A 24,955-nucleotide genomic window follows, 5' to 3' on the forward strand; every position below is an offset into this window, starting at 1 on the left:
TTCCACATGGATGGGGAGGCCTCAGAATCATGGCCGGAGGCGAAAGTTACTTCTTACATGGTAACAGCAAGAGAAAAATGAGGAAGAAGCAAAAGCAGAAACCCCTGATAAACCCATCAGATCTCATGAGACTTATTCACTGTCATGAGAAGAGCAAGGGAAAAGCCAGCCCCCATGATTCCATTACCTCCCAATGGGTCCATCCCACAAAATGTGGGAATTCTGGGAGATATAATTCAAGTTGATATTTGGGTGGGGACACAGCCAACCCATACCATTCTGCCCCTGGACCCTCCAAATCTCATGTCCTCACATTTCAAAACCAATCACACCTTTCCAAGGGTCCCTCAAAGTCTTAACTCATTTCAGCATTAACCCAAAAGTCCACAGTCCAAAGTCTCATCTGAGAAAAGGCAAGTCCCTTCTGCCTATGAGCCTGCAAAATCAAAAGCAAGCTAGTTACTTCCTAGGTACAGTGGGGGTATAGGTATTTGGAAAATACAGCCATTCTCCAAATGGAAGAAATTGGCCAAAACAAAGGGGTTACAGGGCCCATGCAAGTCCAAAATCCAGCAGGGCAGTCAAATTTTAAAGCCCCAAAATGATCTCCTTTGACTCCAGGTCTCACATCCAGGTCATGCCGATGCAAGAGGTAGATTCCTAGGCACTTGGGCAGCTCTGCCCCTATGGCATTGCATGGTGCAGTCTCCCTCCCAGCTGCTTTCATGGGCTGGTGTTAAGTGTCTGCAGCTTTTCCAGGTGCACGATGGATGTAAGCTGTTGGTTAATCTACCATTCTGGGGTCTGGAGGACAGTGGCCCTCTTCTGACACCTCCACTATGCAGTGCCCCAGTAGGGACACTGTGTGGGGGCTCCAACCCCACATTTCCCTTCCACACTGCCCTAGCAAAAGTTCTCCATGAGGATCCCGCCCCTGCAGCAAACTTCTGCCTGGGCATCCAGGCATTTCCAAACATCGTCTGAAATCTATGTGGAGGTTCCCAAACCTCAATACTTGACTTCTGTGCACCCAGAGGCTCAACACCACGTGGAAGCTGCCAAGGCTTGGGGCTTCCACCCTCTGAAGCCACAGCCTGAGCTGTACGTTGACCCCTTTCAGCCATGACTGGAGCAGCTAGGACACAGGGCACTAAGTTCCTAGGCTGCACACAGCACAGGGACCCTGGGCCTAGCACACTAAACCACTTTTTTCTCCTGGGCCTCTAGGCCTGTGAAGGCAGGGGCTGCTGTGAAGGTCTCTGACATGGCCTGGAGACATTTTCCCCATGGTCTTGGGGATTAACATTAGGCTTCTTGCTACTTATGCAAATTTCTGCAGTTGGCTTGAATCTCTCCCCAGAAAATGGGGTTTTCTTTTCTATCACATAGGCTGAAATTTTCCAAACTTTTATGCTCTGCTTCCCTTGTAAAACTGAACACCTTTAACAGAACCCAAGTCACCTCTTGAATGCTTCGCTGCTTTGATGTTTCTTCTTCCAGACACCCTAAATCATCTCTCTTAAGTTCAAAGTTCCACAAATCTCTAGGGCAGGGACAAAATGCCACCAGTTTCTTTACTAAAACATAACAAGAGCCACCTTTGCTCCAGTTCCCAAGTTTCTCGTCTCCATCTGAGACCACCTCAGCCTGAATTTTATTGTTCATATCATTACCAGCATTTTGGCAAAGCCATTCAACAAGTCTTTAGGAAGTTCCAAACTTTCACACATTTTCCCTATCTCCTTTTGAGCCCTTCAAACTGTTCCAAGCTCTGCCTGCTACCCAGTTTCAAAGTTGCTTACACATTTTCAGGTATCTTTTCAGCAATGCTCCACTCTACTGGTACTGACTGGGGGAGGGAGCTCCCTTTGCGCTGCACAGCTCCCAGGCGGGCCCTCACTCCGCCCTGCTTTTCCGTGCTCTCTGTGGGTCATGTCAACCACCTAGTCTGTCCCAATGAGAAAACCTTGGTACCTCAATTGAAGATGCAGAATTCTTTTGCTGTTTTCATCCTTCTCAGTGGGAGCCACAGAGCAAAGCTATTTCTATTCAGCCATCTTAGCTGTTCCTCCCTTAACTTTTCTTCAACTATTTCTTTCTACTGACTTCAAGTCTTTACACAAAGCTTAACTCTTTCAACCAATTGCCAGTCAGAAAATCTTTGAACCTACTTATGACCTGTAACCCCCACACCTCTTCAAGAGACCTCACCTCTTTAGACTGAACCAATATACACCTTCCATATATTGATTATTTTACTTATAATTCCTGTCTCTCTAAAATGTATAGAACCAAACTGTATCCTGACCACCTTGGGCACACTTTCTCAGGACTTCTTGAGACTGTTATCCAGGCCATGGTCACCCATATTGGCTCAGAATAAGTCTCTTTAAATATTTTACAGTTTGTTTTTTCCATTTACACCCTGAAGATAAATTTGTAGAAATAAAATTACCAAAAAAATCTATGAATATTTCTAGAATCTTCCTGTGTGATCTAGCTGGCTCTTCTGTTTTTCTCAAATTATTGCATTATCACTGGTTACTCTTCATATGAAGCCAATAGTATTTGTTAGCATTATAGTACTATATATATATTCATACATGGTCGAGCCCCCTTTAATATAAAAATAATATTTATCTAAAAATTATTAAAACTGTATTTGTTCAAATAAATTATGATTCTCTGGCAAGTAAAGAGAAAGAAAAATAAAACCAGAGTTCTGACTTCAAGCAACTCATAGACCACTGAGAGAGTCAAATACAGAGGAGTACTGATAGTAGGAGAGTCAGCAGAGAGCAGTGTAGAGTAGTGCAGCAATGTAGCATAGCGGTAAAAAGCCTACTAAGAAAGTTACTAAAACAGAATGCCCAATTTTGTCAGTAACTTCAGATTTAGAGCAGGAAAAGGACTGAGGAGAGATCCAAATAATATTTCTCTTTGGTCTTTCAAAAATAACAGGCTTTCTCTTTGTTATGCAAAATTTTAACAAAAGCGTGCTGTTTCCATAACTTACTCTCCTCATTTTCTCCCATGTAGCACCAGACATCTACAATTGGAGATTTGTGTTGTTTTTCTCTCATTATCATCGTTCATTAAAATTGTGTAATCTTTTCTGCACTACCAGTCCTCTTGTTCCATTGTCCTGTCAAAGTGTTTTAGATGACCTGTACGTGTATCTTCTTGCCAACACAATATGCACAATATTGCTTTTAGCATGTTAAACTCACAATCAATTAAAGAACACAATTAATCCTGATTGCTATTTCCTACCAAAAGTAAGTTTTCATGAATTATAATGACTGCAATCATGTGAATCATTCATTTAGCACATATTTACATTTTACCTAATATCTACCAGGGCCAGAAACATACACAAAGAAAGTGGAAATAGTCCTTGCTTTCAAGTAGACTCTCAGTTTGATGAGCCAGACATGTAAACAAGTAATTGTGTTTCAGTGATAGTATAAAGTAGGAAGAAATCAATTCAAAAGTCAATTCTAACCTGGGACCAGTAAAGTCCAAAAGAGGGATTAATATTTGAACTTAATTTGAAGGTTGAATACAAGTTCTCTATGTGAATAAATCAGATAAAAGAATATCGCTAGAGGGATAGTTTATAAAAAGTCATAGGTGCATGAAACAGCCCAATCAATTTCAAAGGTTATAATAAAAACATACTCTAGTATCACGGTTACAATAGTGTTCTACATCTACAGTTCATAGTGTTACCTTCATATGCAGAATTTTCCCCAAAACTATTTCCACTTCCTCCTGGCACCTTAATTCTCAAAGTCGAATTCACATTCTGAAACTAACAATATTAACTTAACTGAATCTTTTGATAAGTTTCTCTGTGGTCATTTTCATTATATTCCCACTTTTCTTCACTTAATTCATACTGCTGCTATCATGGGGAACATTGTGAACACTTATCTTAAATGACCTGCTTCTTGCTCCAAATATTGCACACACAAGAAAATAGTTACTTAGCTCCCTTCTGTGGAAAACTACAGAAGCTTGTCCTCATAAACAGGACATTTATGACAACTCTGTTTGAAAGGTTGGATTATTTTGATATTTCAAAAGATGAAAGTCTTCTGACTGACAAAAAGTGGAGGTGTAGTTTTTTTTTTTTTCTCTTTCGAAGTTTTTTTTTTATACCAACTGTAGGTACCAACAAAAAGAATAATTTATAAACAAAATGTATCAATTATTTGCGTTTTCTGTGAAATTCTTATTGTAGAATGTTTTTATTTTATTAAAACTACAAATTCAAAATAATAAATAGTACCAACGGTTAGCATATCTTTGAAGTGTTGATCTACATCGCTTATTCATCACAATTTCTGTACAAAACAGAGAGAAAGGGCATATAAAAAAGAAAAGTTTGTCAGGACCATTTTGCAATGATCAATGTAGCAGTGTAATTAACAAACAAAAACACTAATAATTATATATATTGATATAACAATATTGTCATGGAATCTTGGCACTATGCATTATTCCAATGTAAACATTTATAAAATTGCTGTTTTCAGCTCATTAAACAGTAGTTTTCTGTTTAAATTTCATTCAATATATATGAAAAATGAACAAATATAAATGAATTGAATACAAGTTGCATTTTGATATAAGGAGAGCTAGAAACATCAACCTTCTTCATTCTGCTCCCTTGTATTAATGATACAATATGGCTATTTGGAGAAGAAGGATAAACGCATGAAAACTGAGTGGGGTAGAGCAGAATATAGAGTTTTTAAAATACAGGAAACAAGTGCAACTGAATCAAACAGAATTCGATTATTGAAAAGCCTAAAAATGAACATAAATAAATAAGCAATTCAATGAAAACATAAACAAAATAACACTTTTCTACTATTTTTCTTTATTTTAATAGAATTGAATTTCTCTGATAACTAAAACGCTAAAGGAAAAACGCTTTTACATACAAAAACAAAACATTTAGAAATACTGCAAAAAATTAGTAGGTAGTCACCAACTGTTTAGTGATGATTTTTCATTATTTTCTCCTCTGCCTGAGGCTTGCAAGTAAGAAGTTAATTAAATAGGACCAATTCTGCCTCCAACAGTTGTTTTCATGAAAGATGCTTGGTAAAAATTGTCTTTGCCACAAAGGATAATGTTTGAGATAGAGCTGCACATGTGTGCTTATGAGATAGTGACCAATCCATTGTTACATGTCCCCGAAGTATGTTAGTAATTGGACCCTGGCCCTATATGGATTCAGGGATCCTAGCAAGGCAAGAAATTCCTTCTCTTTTCCCCAAAGTTTTTACACAAGTGAAACAAAGTGAAATGAGTTGTCTGAAGCAGGCACAGCCTCAGCCGAGGGCCACATGCATACTGATGGGCCTGGTTAGTGGTCATGAGGAGGTCTGAGACCTCAGGCTAGGATAGGTTATGGGAGATGAGACTGAAATATAAATTGAAGCATCCACTGTCCTTTTATTTTATTTTATTTTTATCTCAGTTCATTAAAGCTACTTCCTTTCCCCCACTCTATGTTAGATTTGTATATGCAAAAGAAATTTGACCCTCTAGTAATCACAACTGGGCCCTTTAGACAAATGAACTTTCCATAGATTTTACCTGGAAGATAATTTAAGGAGTAATTAACAATGCCATAATGTAAACTGCTGTCACAATTTTTCCAGGCCACAGACGTATAAACTTCAGCTGATCCAGGGACAGAAATAAATGCCAGATTAGAACTGGTGTTTTTCTTTTTGTCTGTCTCTCTAAAAAACATAGATAATTGGATGAACATGCTTGCCTTGCATGAAGTTGTGTGAGTGTATAGAGGTACTGGAGAGGAGGACGGGATGGGGAAGGGAATGCTGTACAAATCCAGAACTAAAGCCATTGATCCACTCCATCATATTGGCTGCTTCTTTCATCTATTTGCATCCCTATTTCTATGGCCCACACACCAATCATCTGTAATATGTATTAATAAATCCGCGGTTTGCATTTATTAATGTTGTTCATAGATATTTGATTCTTAGCTACTTGGGGAATGTGGATGACTGAACTCCTTGATCTCCTGATTTTAGCCAACGAGTTGAGTAAAATGATGTGACAGGGTAAAGCCTTCCAGAGTTTTCTTTACTTCTAGCACAATCAGCAATGTTCAAGATGATGGCTGTTTCATTAGACTAAGTCCTTGAGTGACTTTGGTGAATGGATTCCCCCAATAACTGATGAGAGATAGAGATGAAATGTAACTCAGAAATCAGCCTTTCTGATTCTCAGTTCCAAGACTTAAGGATTGTTTGATCTCATAGCAAACAGCTATTCTAGCTAATATAATTGGCCTATGACTGTAATAGTACTTTTTATATGTTTGGGGACATCTTCATCAAAACCATCTTTAAGAGATAGGGATACAGATAAACCTTATTTCCCTATTAGCTTTTGGTTTTGAAAGTTCTTTGAAATAAATCATTAATCCTTGGTTTTCAGACTAAGTACAAATCGTGAAACTGCTAAGCTTTAAAAAGTAATATTTCTTAGGGCCAGGAGCAGTGGCTCATGCTTGTGATCCCAGTTCTTTAGGAGGCTAAGGCAGGAGGATTGCTTGAACTGAGGAGTTCAAGAACAGCCTGGGAAACATAATGAGACCTCATCCCTATTAAAAAAATTTTTAAGAAAAATAAATTTAAAAAACAAGTAATTTTTAAATTGACTTACTTAATACTCACTATGTGCCAGGGACTAATCTTATTAATTATTAGTATGAACTCATTTAATCTTCATATTTTGCAAGTGAGGAAATTTGGGCACAGAGACTAAGAAACTTTCCCAAAGTTCCCCAAGAAGTAAAATTTTATTTTGGTACTATTTACTGTGCCTCTTTTACCACCACCATGTTCTTAATACGCAAAGGTTTTATTTCTTCTTAATGGATAACATCAATGTATTTTCACTTAAGCAAATATTTTTACATTTAAGAGAAAGAATACTCATTTCAGTAGCTATTGATTTTCAGCTCTTTTGTTATAGCATACTTCACATTTTTAAAACTGTGTAGTTTTCCATGGGTATGGCCTCCATATTTGACATGCGACTGAGAAAAGAAATTCAGAAGCTTGTGCTCTGATAGTGATGAACATACAGAACTTTAGTCCCGGAACCCTAAAACTCTAATGATTACTTTGTTTGGATCAGATTTGTTTTTTTTTTGGTAAAACTGGAACATTGTCTATCAAAATGAACTTTGATCGCTTTTTCATTATTTAATCCAAACGTGATACAATTTCTCCTTCAATTTCTAACTAAGAAGGAAGTGATAAAAGCAGGTATTACTTGGATGCTAGACAACAGAAAAAGGTTTACTTTATATTCCTCCTTTGTAGAAATAGTTGAGAAACTTTTCAGAGCAGAAATATTTAGTATTTATCTTTTGCTGAAATAGCTATAAATATATTTTGAGCTAGGCACAAGGACCAATCCTTAATTACAAAGAGAGTCTGTATGAAAATCTAGGCATTTAAGATTGTAGATACCAAGCTTTTGTGTATTTATACTCATGTGTGTTCTAAGCTTACTATAAAAGGTTTTAAAAGCATTTAGAGTCACTCATTGAGTCCTTATGTATATAATTTGAAAGAATGCTTTTATCACACTACTTAAGAGTGTTTGTGTGACAATTAAGAGAAGTGAAAAAGTATTCTGTATTAAAGGATAATATGAAGGCAATGGTTATGCTTGTTTAAAATTGTATTATTATTATTATTTTCTGTGATCCTTGATGGGCATTGCACTGTTATAATCTGATGAATATAAAAGAATTGATGGGCATTGCACTGTTATAATCTGATGAATACAAAAGAACTGATGGGCATTGCACTGTTATAATCTGATGAATATAAAATGACAGGAGGTACAAAGAGTTCTCGGAGGAGAGTACTACTCTTCCTTATGTAAAAATAATACTTTCTGTCCGTAATCCCAGCACTTTGGGAGATTGAGGCAGGCAGATCACCAGGTCAGGAGTTTGAGACCAGCCTGGCCAATATGGTGAAATCCGATCTCTACTAAAAATACAATAATTACCCGGGTGTGGTGGTGCGCACATGTTGCCCCAGCTACTCGGGAGGCTGAGGCATAAGAATCACTTGAACCCAAAAGGCAGAGGTTGCAGTGAGCCAAGATCGTGCCACTGTACTCCAGCCTGGGTGACAAAGTGAGACTGTCTCAAAAAAAATAAAATAATAATAATAATAATACTTTTTATACCTTATACAAAGTAGTATTTTATTCTTTAATATAAATGCCATGTAACAAGACATTTCTGCAGTTAGTTTCTTAACAATTAATTTTCAAAACTATTCCATGAATGGTAAGAATCACTAAAGCAATCAGTAACACAGTTAACCTGGGAAAACTACAGAGGGAATGCAAATTGAAGAGTAAGATAAGAATCAGTAAATTTAAGATCTGAGAGAAACTGAAAAATTAAATTTAAAGCTAATAAAACGTGCTAATTCACATTATTATTATTCTTGGAAAACTAAGTTGCTTATGACTGAAAATTTTCCAAAGTTTCATTGATCAAGAAAATTATCTGCTAATAACAGAAACTACATTAAGACTTACAGCATCTGAATATTGGCTAAAACATGCATATTTTAAGATTCCTTTTAATGTAAGATAATAAACACAATACACTTAGGAACTTAATAATTCCTATAACCAGAACTCACCACCTTACCCTTACAAGCAGTTGTTTTTATTAACAAATATCTTTGTTTCTTTCTTCCACGTTGTTGGAGATGGCAGGATTTCACTGACACTATGCTAAGGGAAATAAGCCAGTCTCAGAAGGACAAAGACTGCATGATCTCATTTATATGAGGTATCTAAAATTGTCAAGCTCACAAAGCAAAGAGTAAAATGGTGATAACAAGGGGCTTGGGGAAGGGGAAATGAGTTGTTTAATAGGTATAATGTCCTAGTTATACAACATGAATAGGTTCTAGATGTCCGCTTTAAGACACAGTCCCTGTAGTTAAAAATACTGTATTGTACACTCAAAATTTGTTGAAAGGGCAGATCTCAAGTTAAATCTTCTTACCATAAAGTTTTAAAAGGTGGAAGTGCAGGAGGAAGCTTTTGGAGGTGATAGATATTTTTATTACCTTGATTGTGGTGATGGTTTCACAGTGTATGCATACGTTCAAACCCATCAAATTGTATGCAGTAGGTATATGCAGGTTTTATATATCAACCCCACCCAAATAAAATTGTATTTTAAAAAGCTTCTTTCTTCTATGTATCTACTGTTTGTCTTCTTATAGGCTTGACTTCTTTCTTCTAATTCAATCTTCTGGACCCAAACAAAATAGATCATATAATGCAGATGGAAACCTACCTTTCAAAACTTATTTTCTTTTTTTTTAATTTTTTTTATTATTATTATACTTTAAGTTTTAGGGTACATGTGCACTATGTGCCGGTTAGTTACATATGTATACATGTGCCATGCTGGTGCGCTGCACCCATTAACTTGTCATTTAGCATTAGGTATATCTCCCAATGCTATCCTTCCCCCTCCCCCAACCCCACAACAGTCCCCAGAGTGTGATGGTCCCCTTCCTGTGTCCATGTGTTCTCATTGTTCAATTCCCATCTATGAGTGAGAACATGCGGTGTTTCGTTTTTTGTACTTGCGATAGTTTACTGAGAATGATGACTTCCAATTTCATCCATGTCCCTACAAAGGACATGAACTCATCATTTTTTATAGCTGCATAGTATTCCATGGTGTATATGTGCCACATATTCTTAATCCAGTCTATCATTGTTGGACATTTGGGTTGGTTCCAAGTCTTTGCTATTGTGAATAGTGCCGCAATAAACATACGTGTGCATGCGTCTTTACAGCAGCATGATTTATAGTCCTTTGGGTATATACCCAGTAATGGGATGGCTGGGTCAAATGGTATTTCTAGTTCTAGATCCCTGAGGAATCGCCACACTGACTTCCACAATGGTTGAACTAGTTTACGGTCCCACCAACAGTGTAAAAGTGTTCCTATTTCTCCACATCCTCTCCAGCACCTGTTGTTTCCTGACTTTTTAATGATCACCATTCTAACTGGTGTGAGATGCTATCTCATTGTGGTTTTGATTTGCATTTCTCTGATGGCCAGTGATGATGAGCGTGCATCACCAAGTCAATCCTAAGCCAAAAGAACAAAGCTGGAGGCGTCATGCTACCTGACTTCAAACTATACTACAAGGTTACAGTAACCAAAACAGCATGGTACTGGTACCAAAACAGAGATATATATCAATGGAACAGAACAGAGCCCTCAGAAATAATGCTGCATATCTACAACTATCTGATCTTTGACAAACCTGACAAAAACAAGCAATGGGGAAAGGATTCCCTATTTAATAAATGGTGCTGGGAAAACTGGCTAGCCATATGTAGAAAGCTGAAACTGGATCCCTTCCTTACACCTTATACAAAAATTAATTCAAGATGGATTAAAGACTTAAACGTTAGACCTAAAACCATAAAAACCCTAGAAGAAAACCTAGGCATTACCATTCAGGACATAGGCATGGGCAAGGACTTCATGTCTGAAACACCAAAAGCAATGGCAACAAAAGCCAAAATTGACAAATGGGATCTAATTAAACTAAAGAACTTCTGCACAGCAAAAGAAACTACCATCAGAGTGAACAGGCAACCTACAAAATGGGAGAAAATTTTCGCAACCTACTCATCTGACAAAGGGCTAATATCCAGAATCTACCATCTGACAAAGGGCTAATATCCAGAATCTACAAAGAACTCAAACAAATTTACAAGAAAAAAACAAACAATCCCATCAAAAAGTGGGCAAAGGATATGAACAGACACTTCTCAATAGAAGACATTTATGCAGCCAAAAGACACATGAAAAAATGTTCATCAAAACTTATTTTCAAATTGTCTTGTCCTCATCTTCCCAATCATAGAGTACATCAACCTGCCCTGTACTTCCTATGTCCCTTCACTCACTGACATTTCTTTGTGAAATATACTTAGAATCCTGCGTATCTTTTAAAACTTAGTTAAAATGTCACAGCTGCAACAAAAACAAAAGTTCTCCATTCTTTCTAGCTGGAATTATCTTTCTCTGTCCACTTATCAAAAAGCAATTCATTCTTACTCCATCCATGCATTTCTTCTTTGTTTTATGTCTCTCCTCTAAGTCAAGCAATAAAGAGGTTGAACTCTTTTATTTACTTATGTCTTACAATGATTTGCAGGTAAAAGGACCTGATAGCTGGGTAAGAGGCTCACATGTGGAATCTCAGAACTCTGGGAAGTCGAGGCAGGAGGATGACTTGACCTCGGGAGTTCGAGACCAGCCTGAGTAACATAGTGACACCTACCTCTACAAATATTTAAAAATTAGCTGGGTGTGATAGTATGCATCTGTAGTCCCAGCCACTAGGGAGGCTGGATTGCTTGAGTCTGGAAGGTCAAGACTGCAGTGAGCCATGATTGAGCTACTGCACTCTAGTCTTGGTAAGAGTGAGACCTTGTCTCAATAAATAAATAAATAAATAAATAAAAGAATCATATATATATATATATAAATATACACACACATATATATAAAATATATATACGCACACATATACTTAAAAATTAATTTTGTCTTTTCAAAACTAGTAGTGGAGTCTGAGTGCTTAATCATTATTCAGTATATATATTCAGTATACATATTCTGTATATATACACATATACTGAATATATATATTCAGTATATATATTCAATATACAATATATATATTCAATATACTATACATACCTATTGTATATACATTATATATAATATATCCTATATATACATATATACAATATGCATATTCAATATACAATATACATATTCCATATACATATACACAATATACACATATACAGTATATATATTCAATATACATATTCAGTATATATGTATACATATACACACACATATACTGAATAATGGTTAAGCACTCAGACTCCACTACTTCATAACCGTGATTTTAGATATGTGCTTAACACCTTTCAGCTTTTATTTCCTCATGTATAGCATGGTGACAATAATAGTGCCCACCTTATAGGATTTTCTTGATAATTAGGTGAGATACTCAATGTAAAATCACTTGTCACAAAGCTCCGTGTCATAAAAAAAGTCTCAGTCATTCAAAGTATGTTTCTGACTACAATGGGATTAAATTAGAAAAATTAGAAGTCAATAATAAAAAGGCATGTGGGCAATACCCAAGTATTTGGAAATTAAATGAGAGATTTCTAAAACAAATGAGTCAAAGAAGAAATCAAAAGAGACATTCAAAGTATTTTGAATTAAATGTAAAAGAAAAGCCAACATATCAGAATTTGTGGTATGCCAGTTCTTAAAGGGAAATTCATAGTGCAAAATGCCTGTGTAAGAAAAGAGGAATAACAGCAAGTTAGTGATCTTATCTTCCACCTTCAGAAACCAGAAAAAGAACAAATAAAACTCCAAGTAAGAAGAGAAAAAACAATAAAGCAGAAATAAAAAATTTTGAGGCTGGCCATGGTGGCGCACACATGTAATCCCAGCACTCTGGGAGACTGCGCTAGAAGGACAGCTTAAAGCCAGGAGTTTGAAACCAACCAGGCAACAAACTGAGTTTCCATCTATAAAAAAAATAAAAAAGCTTATCTGAATGTGGTGGCATGCACCTACCTGTAGTCCCAGCTACCCAGGAGGCCAAGGCAGGAGGATCATTTGAGCCCAGGAGTTGGAGGCTACAGTAAGCTATAATTCACTGCACACCAGCCTGGGGGACAGAGCAAGTCCCCATCTCTAAAAATAAATTAATTAAATTAAATAGTAATATATATTTTAAAAAGGTTCTTTTGGGGAAGGAGGCAAAAAATTCTTTATATATAAAGCATAGATTACATATACATAAATAGACATACAATATGTCTCTGAAATTAAAATTTATTGGGGGCAATTAAGAAAAAAGTCAAAAAAGACTCATAGGGTAGTGACTGAAATAACGTTTGAGGAAAACTGTTCTACGGATATTAAAAGAACAATAATGGAATATTATGAGCAACTTAACTAGAATACATACAAAAATCTGGATGAAACAGACAAATTTCTCAAAAGACCCAAACCACCAAAGTTCACTAAAACAAAAAAATAAATAAGAAGAATAGTCCCACATATTTAAATATATATTTTTGGTAAAATCCTTCCTACCATGAAAACTTCAGTCCCAGATGCCTTCACTGGTAAATTCTACTAAATATTCAGGGAAAAATAATTATACAAATTCTATAAAAATTCCTTCAGCAAGTTGACAATATGGGAATACCTACCAGTTTTTTCTTTAAGGTCAACATTACACATTACTGAAACCAGCAAAGACATTATAAGAAAAGAAGATTACGTAATAATATCCCTCATGGACATAACAATGTTCTGATGAAAACACCAGCAAAACAACTCCAGATATATATAAAAAGATAATACCTTGTCACAAAAGTGAGGAATATACCAAGAATGTAAAGCTGGTTCAACATTCAAAAATCAGTCACTCTAATTCACCATATTAACGCACTAAAAATTAGAAATACGTAATATTATCTTTTTGAAAGACACAGAAAAGCATTTGCCAAAAATCAAACATTCATTTCTAATTAAAAACGAAAACGAACAAAACCACCTCAGCTAATTAGAAACAGAAGGGTATTTCCTCAACCTGAAAAAAAATCAATCGTTTAAAAAGCTAACACTGTACTTATTAGTGGAACACTGATAGTGTTCCCCCGAAGATAGTAAAAAGACAAGGATATTTACCCTCATCACTGCTGTTAAACATTGTACTGGATGTTCTAGCCAGTGCAAACAGAGAAAGAAGATAAAGAACTAAAAGGCATCCAAAGTAGAAAAGAAAAGGTAAAACTGTTTGATCCAGAGATGACATGATCATATATGTAGAAAATCCATTGGATATACAAAAAAGCTTCTAGAATAGATGAATTTAGCAAGACTTGCCGGATGCAAGATCACTATGCACAAATCAATTGTATTTGTTTGTATTAACAATGCACAACATAGGACTGAAATAGAAAAATACCACTTAAATTGACATAAGTATTTAAATACTGTGGGATATGCCAGGCATGGTGGCTCACACCTGTAATCCCAGCACTTTGTGACCTGAAATGGGCAGATTACCTGAGGTCAGGAGATCGAGACCAGCCTGACCAACATAGCGAAACCCTGTCTCTACTAAAAATACAAAAATTAGGCAGGAGTGGTAGCACATGCCTGTAATCCCAGCTACTTGGGAGACTGAGGCAGAAGAATCACTTGAACCAGGGAGGCGGAGATTGCAGTGAGCTGAGATCGCACCACTTCACTCCAGCTTGGGTGACAGAGTAAGACTCCATCTCAAAAAAAAAAACAATACTGTGGAATAAATCTGATATAATATGTAAAGTACTGGGACACTGAAAACTGCAAAACATTGCTGAGAAAAAAATTAAAAGCTTAAATAAATTGAAATTTTTTTTTGTTCATTGGTCAGAAGATCCAACATGCTTAAGATAACAGTTCTCCACAGGCTGAACTCTATAGTCAGTGAAATCCTTATTTTTTAAAAATAATTATTTTATAAAATATGACAAGATGATTCTAAATTTATATGAAAATAAAAAGTATACAAATAACTACAGCAAAAATATATTTGAAAAGATGAAAATTTTATAAATCTATAGTGTCTTAGTTCAGATTGCTATAAAGAAGTACAGTGGGCTGGATGACTTAAAAATAGCAAAAATTTATTTCTCACAGTTCTGGAGATTGGAGGTCTGAGATCAGGGTATCAGGATGGTCAGGTTCTGGTGAGGGCCCTCTTCTATTTTGCAGACTGCTAACGTCTCATTATATCCTCACATGGCAGAAAGAGTGTGGACTAACTCTCTGGTCTTTTCTTATAAATGCACTAATCTCATTCATAAAAGGTACTACAATTCATGAACTAATCACCTCCCAAAGGCCCTGCCTCCAAATATCACCATGGTGGAGATCAGCGTTTAACATATGAATTTTGGAAAGACAGTCAGTCGATAGCATATAGTAATCAGAACAGTGTGCTATTCATGTAAAGATAGACATATAGATCAATGGAATATGATAGAGCCCAGAAGTAGACCTTTACTGTATATGAACAATTGATTTTTGGAAAAAATGCAGTTAGTCTTTGCTGAGAAGCTCTGTGTGCATATTGGGGCATATCTTCAACACTCAGTCAGGTTTTTCTCAAATCTGCCTTTGCCTTTACTTCCTGTTTGCATAAAGCCACAAGATTATTCAGTGATGAGAATTTAGGACCTTCTTATGTCTTTCCTAAGAAGGAGAGAACACTGTCTGCCTGTGTGTGGCCTTCAAGATTCCTGGGAATACTGCTGAGTTTTTCAAAGCCTTAGGAACATCTAATTTCCAGCTTTTACTTTTAAGCTTTTTGTTTATACTATTGTTTGATAGAAATATTATCCACTGCCTTAGGACCATAAAGTTAAACAATAATTCCCTGTTGTGTTTCTTTGTTTGTTTTTACCAACTCCTCCCCTCCCCTACCTCCAGGAAAAGGCTGTTCATGCTGGGTGAGCTCTAAGTCATGTCAGTATAGATAGCTTTGCAAGTGGGGTCTTCCATGAAATTACCAGGTAAGTCAGACAACGGTAATTATTTGGGAATGAGCTCTAACCGTCTCTGTTGTCTCTAGTGCCTGCACTATTGTTGCTTTTTACTGCAAATGTGGGCTATTATTTTTCAAGGCTACCCCACAGCTGGAGAACAAGTGATGAGAATAAAGCTAAAAAGCAAAAAAAAAAAAGCCATAAGTTCTTCCTAAGATTCAGTCACTTTTCTTGAATGAATACTCCCTGAGTTACTACAAGACTTTGGTTAATTTCTAGAGTTCTCAAATAGGTGGATTCTAACTTTAAAAATATTTTTACTCATTGGTTTTGTGGAAGAAAATATTTATCTTTTAACTTTCATTTCAGGTTCATTGGTATATGTGCAGACTTTTTCTATAGGTAAATTGCTTGCTGTGGGAGTTTGGTGTACAGACTTTCATCACCCAGGTAATAAGCATTGTATTCGATAGGTAGTTTTTCTATCTCTCCCCCTTCCTTCTCCCATGCTTCACCCTCAAGTAGGCCCTGGTGTCTGCAGGTCCCTTCTTTGCGTCCATGTGTACTCAATGTTTAGCTCCCACTTATAGGTAGGAACGTGCAGTATTTGGTTTTCTATTCCTGCTTTAGTTTGCATCAGATAATGGCCTCCAGCTCCATCCATGTTGCTGCAAAGGACATGATCTCATTCTTTGTTATGGCTGCATAGTATTTATATATATATACACACACACACATATGCACACACACACACACATATATATATATATCACATTTTCGTCATCCATACCACCACTGATGGGCATTTAGATTGTTTCTATGTCTTTGCTTATTATGAATAGTGCTGCCATGAATATACGCATGCATATGTCTTTATGGTAGAATGATTTATATTCCTCTGGGTATATACCCAATAATGGGATTCCTGGATTGAATGGTAGTCCCATTTTAAGTTTTTTGAGAAATCTCCAAACTACTTTCCACAATGGCTGAACTAATTTACATTCCCATCAGCAGTGTATAAGTGCTCCTTTTTCTCTATAACCTTGCCAGCATCTATTATTTTTTGACTGTTTAATAATACCCATTCTGACTGGTCTGAGATGGTATCTTGTTGTGGTTTTAATTTTCATTTCTCTAACGATTAGTGATGTCAAGCGCTTTTTCATGTGCTTGTTGGTCATGTGTATGTCTTCTTTGGAAAACTATCTGTTCATGTCCTTTACTTACTTTTTTTTTTTTTTTTTTTTTTTTTTTTTTTTTGAGACGAGTCTTGCTCTGTCGCCCAGGCTGGAGTGAAGTGGCGTGATCTTGACTCACTGCAAGCTCTGCCTCCTGGGTTCACGCCATTCTCCTGCCTCAGCCTCCCAAGTAGCTGGGACTACAAGCGCCCGCCACCTACACCCGGCTAATTTTTTGTATTTTTTTTTTTTTTTTTTTTTTTTAGTAGAGACGGGGTTTCACCGTGTTAGCCAGGATGGTCTCGATTTCTTCACTTTGTGATCCACCCGCCTCGGCCTCCCAAAGTGCTGGGATTATAGGTGTGAGCCACCGCTCCCGGCCGTCTTTTACTTACTTTTTAATGAGACTGTTTGTTTTTTGCTTGAATATTTAAGTTTCTTAAAGATGCTAGATATTAGACCTTTGTCAGATGCATCAATTGCAAATATTTTCTCCCATTCTGTAGGCTGCCTGTTTACTCTGTTGATGGTTTCTTTTGCTGTGCAGAATCTCTTTAGTTAAATTAGATCCCGTCTGTCAACTTTTGTTTTTGTTGCAATGGCTTTTGGTGTCTTCATCATGAAGTCTTTGCCAGGGCCTATGTCCAGAATAGTATTTTCTAGGTTATCTTCCAGAGTTTTTACAGTTTTAGGTTTTACATTTAGGCATTTAATCAATCTTGAGTTGATTTTTGTATATGGTGTAATAAAGGGGTCGAGCTTCAATTTTGTGCGTATGCTACACAGTTATCCCAGCACATTATTGAATAGGTAACCCTTTCCCCATTGCTTGTTTTTGTCAACTTTGCTGAAGACCAGATGGTTGTAGGTGTGTGGCTTTATTTCCCAGCTCTCAATTCTGTTCCATTGGTCAATGTGTCTTATTTTGAACCCACATTTTCTCCCAATAATTAATTGCCTTATTTCCCCTCTGCACTTCAGCTTCCCTCTGTTTTATCTTCCTCTTCATCCTAAAATAGTGTTCCATCATTTCAGCCAGATTATACACAATAACATCAATTTTCATATTTCTTTATTTATCTGCCTCCCCATTCCAGAGCTTGCTACGGAAAACCTAAACCTAGATATTAGTATTACCATATAGATGTAATTGTCCATTCCAATGGGTTCTCAGTCAAGCCAGAAAAACTGTGTACTTTTCTTTGATTACATCCTCCTCTAATTACTTTGGTTTAGATGTTTTTCCAAATTTTTGCCACTGTTCTAAATATTTACATCCACTTCACTGTAAATATGAGCATTTCTTTATTGTTTTCAGAGAAAGGAGAAACCACCTTATGGGAATTTGTATAAGATTCCTGTACTGTATTACCCTTCAGGCAAGAATTTATCTTTATCTACTCATAATCCATATTGCTTCTTTCCATACACAAGCTATAACTTGTCTTCTTACCAACTCAAAGCCGTTTCTTTTACCTGTTCTCTAAACTCAAGGTCCTCTGTCACAAGAGTCACGTAGGATAAGTAAACACAAAGTAGTTGTGGTAAACTTATTAGAAACAAGTATTTTCATTTTGGGGAATGATTCTGGCTAGTCTCCAAATCTGCATGTGTTTAGTTGAGTACAATAATGTGGTAGGGAGAATCCATCTGCAGTTGTGCTAAAGGTCCATTGTTGTCAGAGGGTAGAGTCGGGTAGGTAATATGTAAAATAGCAAGCTCTCACTCTTTTTTACCCTCTCAGTAATCTTCCTTGCTTCTTCAAAACCTTCAATGACTATAAATGCCCTTTAAACCGGTTTCAAGCTTTTCAGTTTGGTGTTTGATTCTATGCAGCTTTAGTTGCTACTTACATTTTTCCACTGCTATTTCCTGAATATATCTCCCAAAGCTCATGTTTTGTGAACTTTATGCTCAATGAAACAGTTTGGTGGAGTGGGGCCTTTAAGATGTGATTAGGTCATTAGGGCTCTGTCCTCATGAATAGATTAATCTGTTATCCTGAAAGATGATTAGTTATCATGGGAGTGGGCTCCTGATGACAGGACATGTTCAGCCTTCTTGCTCTTCCTGCCTTGCACACTCACTAACCATGTGATGCCTTTCTATTATAGGGTAACATAGCAAGAAGGTCCTCACAAGATGTCAGCACCATGCTCTTGGACTTCCCTACTTCTAGAACTGTGACCAAATAAAACCCTATTCTTTATAAATTACCTAGCTTTTGTTATGCTGTTACAACAGCAGAAAATGGATTAAGACACCCACTCACATATATTTTCTTCTTTGTCTTTTTAATACTGTGAAACAGAATTTTTTAGTTAATTTAGTTATTCTTATATTAGACTTTTCCATTTATGAAAGAATGAGTTCTTACAATGGACCTCTTTGATACCATTGACTTGAATGTGTAATAGGAAGAACTCTAAGGCTTCTGAAATAATCCAACTGTTTATCTGCAAAACCACCTGCAGCCAGAAAGTGAGATAACAAAATCACTGAAGAAATCAAAACATGAGAGTTGAATCACAAAACCTCACTTTATCTTGATGATTTTCTATGGAAGGTATATACCTCAGCACATCGATAAAAGGACAATTTTGTGTACTAAAACAAAGGAGGTCATTATAAGGATATAAAAACCAATGGTGTTAAAAGCAGCACTAATGCTCAGCAGACTAAAACCAAGTAATCCAGTGTAATAAAATGGTTAGGTTGGAGTCTTAATAGATTGTAATTGTTAGGAGAATAAATCACAGCTAAAATATTTCTCTATCTATGAGATAAGCATTGGAAATAATTTTAAAATTCAGAGACCTCAACACTAAAGGTAGAAAATATTTCCTTTCCTATTAGAGTACTAAAAAAGAGTAACTGAAATGAATATTACTAAACTAACATTTTTTCTATTTAAGTGTTTTGCTATCACAAACTGAAAGAAAAATTAACGTTTCAGATTATTTAGGAGAATGAGCCAGGGATTGCAAATATCTCACCTCAAATATCGTTTTTGTTTTTTGTTTTTTGTTTTTTTTTTTTTGAGATGGAGTCTTGGTCTGTTGCCCAGGCTGGAGTGCAGTGGCACGATCTCAGCTCACTGCAACCTCCACCTCCCAGGTTTAAGTGATTCTCCTGCCTCAACCTCCCAAGTAGCTGGGACTACAGGCATGTGCCACCGCACCCGGCTAATGTTTTTGTATTTTTAGTAGTGACGGGGTTTCACCATGTTAGCCAGGCTGGTCTCGAACTCCTGACCTCAAGTGATCCACCCTCCTTGGCCTCCCAAAATGCTAGGATTGCAGGTGTGAGGCACCACACCCAGACACTTTGCAAATATCTTTATTATTCATTATATATAATAGATTGTTCTATAGTACAGATAGTTAAAATGGCTTAAGTAACAAAAATTAATTTTTGATTAAAATATTAGGAAGTATAAAGTAGATCAGTCAAAAAGATATGAACATAACTGAATAATTCAGCCAGCCAAATAGCACACACTGGACAAAATTGTCTATTCAAGGGTAAAAGCTGGACTGACAGTAAAGAAGAGTTCACAAAGCAAAAACTGTTGCTCAGAAAGAGTTAATCATTCTCTGAAAAATACAAATCTAGTCATAATTTCTATGCAGAAAAAGAATTGCACCCTTACAGATAAACAATACAGATAGGTTTCTGCTTTCTTGTTTTCTATCAATCTATCTGTAATTGTGTGGCATTGAGAATATGCAAAAGTAATTGCTAGAAGATGCAGAATAGTTCAGAGCACAGACTCTGGTGTCAGTAAAACTTTCCAACAGTATAATTTACTAGCAATGTCACTGTGGGCATGTCACTTAATGTTTAAACTTAATGTTTTCTGTTCTGTAGTAGTGTAGCAGCGTCACTGTGGGTATGTCACTTTATGTTTAAACTTAATGTTTTCTGTTCTGTAGTCAGGTAATAGTAATAGCTCTTATTTCATAGGATTATTTTCAGGATTGAAATGAAAAAGCCAAAATTGACAAATGGGATCGAATTAAACTAAAGAGCTTCTGCATAGCAAAAGAAACCACCATCAGAGTGAACAGGCAACCTACAGAATGGGAGAAAATTTTTGCAATCTACTCATCTGACAAAGGGCTAATATCCAGAATGTACAAACAACTCAAACAAATTTACAAGAAAAAAACAAACAACCACATCAAAAAGTGGGCGAACGATATGAACAGACACTTCTCAAAAGAAGACATTTATGCAGCCAACAGCACAGGAAAAAATGCTCATCATCACTGGCCATCAGAGAAATGCAAATCAAAACCACAATGAGATACCATCTCACACCAGTTAGAATGGTGATCATTAAAAAGTCAGGAAACAACAGATGCTGGAGAGGATGTGGAGAAATAGGAATGCTTTTACACTGTTGGTGGAAGTGGAAATTAGTTCAGCCATTGTGGAAGACAGTGTGGCGATTCCTCAAGGATCTAGAACTAGAAATACCATTTGACCCAGCCATCCCATTACTGGGGTATATACCCAAAGGATTATAAATCCTGCTGCTATAAAGACACATGCACATGTATGTTTATTGCGGCACTATTCACAATAGCAAAGACTTGGAACCAACCCAAATGTCCAACAATGATAGACTGGATTAAGAAAATGTGGCACATATACACCACGGAATACTATGCAGCCATAAAAAAGGATGAGCTCATGTCCTTTGTAGGGACATGGATGAAGCTGGAAACCACCATTCTCAGCAAACTATCGCAAGGACAAAAAACCAAACACCACGTGTTCTCACTCATAGGTGGGAATCGAACAATGAGAACACATGGACACAGGAAGGGGAACATCACACACCGGGGCCTGTTGTGGGGTGAGGGGAAGGGGGAGGGATAGCAGTAGGAGATATACCTAATGTAAATGACGAGTTAATAGGTGCAGCACACCAACGTGGCACATGTATACATATGTAACAAACCTGCACGTTGTGCACATGTACCCTAGAAATATATGAACAAATAAAAGAAATGAAATAATGCATGCAAAACATCTAGTATATAGTAAACTAACTCTTATGTAAATATTAGCTATTATTTTATTACATATAAATAAAAAGGGCTAAGACAATATAAATCTTGATGTGTTCTCAAATACAGCATTTCTTTCTAAAATGATTTTTCTTCTGAATGTCTGCTAAAATTTCTGGATTTCCTATTGAAATTCTCAGTTAATCTACTGAAACAATCTCATTCATGTACTGAAAGGACCCTTCCTCCATACCACTGATCCAGGAGAAACAGTCTGTATCAATTACCACTCTGTTCCTTCCATGCCTGCACTTTGACCCTGGCATGGCGTCTTGATTTTTCCTTAGCAGGAACAATAACAGCTTTGGTATTCTGGTGTGAATTATTTATATGCTTGCTTCTAGTTTGGTTCCTCCAGCTTTTGTCCCACTCTCAGTGAAAAGATCTAGTTGCAGACCTCAGATCCCACAAATTGAGAACAATTTTCCTGTAATTATCTGTGTATAGGGTGATCTGGTTATACTATAATGCTCATGATCTTAAAGGTTTCTGTGGCAAACAAAATATTGAGACTCTATCTTTTGAAAAGTGGGAAATAATTTAAGATGCTTTCACAGAGGAATGAAACAGCTTTAACAAATTCAGATGAGTTGAATGGACTAGAAGCAGGACTGCCCCATAGAACGCTGTTTTAATAGTCCAAAGTATAAATTTAGGAGAATGACAACTAGAAATAGAAAGGATGTGAACATCAAAAGAATTTTCAAATATCTTTGATGGAGTCATGATTTTGAAAAAATACCTTCCAGTGTCACCTTTATTCCATAGTCAGTAAATGTGTAGCATAATAACATGTAGTAATAGAATAAAATTATTTCAAAAAAAAATAAATCTAGTGGTTTTCTTTAAAGTCTTATCTGCTACTTTCTTAATTTTATTAAAGCAGACAATTAGGATTTCCCAAAGCAAAATATTGAAATTGCCAGTATCAGCTGTTGCAGAATGCTTTATTTATCTATGTTTGAGCTTGAAAATGTACTCTGATAGCATACATTTTTTTCATTTATGTTTATAATAGTTTCAGAGTACATGGAAAAATGGAAGCTTGAAGTTGGTCCTAGAAGTCCCTATTACAAGCCACTTTAGGCAAAATTCCTAGTGTATCAAACTAAACACAGAGATAATATATTGTATAAATGTATACTTCCTAGGTGCTCCAGGAAGAAAGGTTACAAATATAGTTTCCCATCTGAGAGGAGAAGGGTTATATAAATGTACTTAACTTTTAAAGGTAACTATAATTTTGACACGTAATTTATGTTTTATACTTTTAAACTCAAAGATGTTTTCTTTCTTAGAAAATGCACTCTCCATTTGATATGATACCACCAGGTAATCTTAATATAGCATGCCTATGTAAAGTTAGGTAAATTCGTTCTGTTACCGAAGCTTTTAAAATTATTGTCAACCCCTTTAAACAATCTTGTTTTGGACAGAGGAAAGTTACACAAAATTGGTTTCAAATCAAACCAGTTTCTGCCTAAACTGGCTCAGGGATTTATGCTGAATTTAACTTTCTCAACGGCTTCCCATTAATCTTGTTAAAAGTAAAACCTTACACAAATTACATTCAACAGAGTTTAATTGAGAAAAGAACAATTCACGAACCTGGCAGTCACCAAACCAGAAGTTTAGGGAGGTTCCATTGCTACCACATGGTCAAAGAAGATTTATGAACAGGAAAAGGAAAGTGACACACAAAAAAACAGAAGTGAGGTACAGAAACAACTGGATTGTTTACAGTGTGGCATTTGCCTTATTTGAACATGGTTTGAAGAGCTGGCTGCTCTTCATTGGCCAAAACTTGGTGATTGGCATAAGAGTAGGTTACAGTCTGTTCACACATCCAGTCAGGGAGCAGTTCACTATGTACAGAGAAACCTTTAAAATATATAAAAACCTTTAGGCTAAACTTAATTTAACAACTCTCTTCTTTTGGTCAAACTCTCAGTTGAAAGATAGACTAAAACTTTGGATGTCATTCTGTCACCATCATAAATGTACTTATTTGGTCTCAAATCCCACTGGAAAATAGCAGGACGATAGGTCTTGCAAAGTGAGAACAAGGACTTCAGGTTATTATTATTATTTTATATAAGGGTTAGAGTCAAAGGACCTTCTTGTTCTGGAATCTCCTGTTTTCAGGAGAAAAACCAAACTCCATCTGTTTTAGGATTTGTTTTCTTAAAGTGTCAGTTCAATTACACTGCAATTAGCATGAGTGACTTCATTTTGGTTTAGTCTGGTCTCTGGGGCCTAGACCATGAACCAGTCCAAAACAATAGGTTCCCATAATTTTGTTTAAAAATTACCCCTTTTGTTCAGGTTCTCACATAGGTGAGAGGGTGACCATGCTTATTCACCAATATCTTGGGTTTTCAGTCTCAGCATGTAATTTGTAGGTTACAGGGTCCTCATGGTCATATGTTTCTTTGTTTGTTTGTCATTCTGGTTGAAGAGTAACAATTTGACATTCTACAGATGGCTGCATGCAAACATTTAAAACTTCTGAGAGAATACAGTGCACCAAGGAAACTACCGTTAGACTACCGGCAGGGTAATACCAAGAGTTTGAAGTATGCTCCTTATCCAGGGTCCTCAAGAATCAAACCTATTAAAATCAAATAGACCACGGAATTAGCTGAAGAGTCTAGTCATTTTAACCAACCATCCTGTTATTAATTGCCTACAACTCAATCTCCATAATACCCAACCCAATGTATTCTTCCATGTCCAACTAGAAGTGTCAGCACCTGTTCATATACTTCTGTTTAGCCAATAAGTAATCTGGAGCAATCCTATTATTTAGCAAAACTTTCAAAAGATTTAAGTCTGTTGTGTAGCTGTAGTTTTTGCAGTAGAATCTGCTATACAGCCTATTATAAGAGATACATTTCTAACCATTGCTTCATTTACTCCAAACCGTGGAGAAAAAGACCTAACAAGTGGTGCCCATTCAGAAAAGTGAAAGCCTTCTGCCA

The 24,955-nt window shown here is 36.4% G+C and overlaps 2 long non-coding RNA genes across 2 annotated transcripts; one reads left to right on the forward strand and one right to left on the reverse strand.

Moving 5' to 3' along the window:
- Positions 1–4,234: 4,234 nt before the first annotated feature.
- LOC124902131 (uncharacterized) lies at positions 4,235–6,568 on the reverse strand. Its single transcript, XR_007061437.1, has 2 exons — positions 5,614–6,568; positions 4,235–4,349 (listed from the first exon to the last, which is right to left on the reverse strand). It is a non-coding gene; the product is annotated as an uncharacterized LOC124902131 (long non-coding RNA).
- A 9,096-nt stretch (positions 6,569–15,664) lies between these two features.
- LOC124902132 (uncharacterized) lies at positions 15,665–20,945 on the forward strand. Its single transcript, XR_007061438.1, has 3 exons — positions 15,665–15,742; positions 16,085–16,165; positions 20,863–20,945. It is a non-coding gene; the product is annotated as an uncharacterized LOC124902132 (long non-coding RNA).
- The last annotated feature ends 4,010 nt before the right edge of the window (positions 20,946–24,955 follow it).

The sequence above is a fragment of the Homo sapiens genome, chromosome 9, assembly GCF_000001405.40.
Source record: "Homo sapiens chromosome 9, GRCh38.p14 Primary Assembly".
Lineage (NCBI taxonomy): Eukaryota > Metazoa > Chordata > Mammalia > Primates > Hominidae > Homo > Homo sapiens.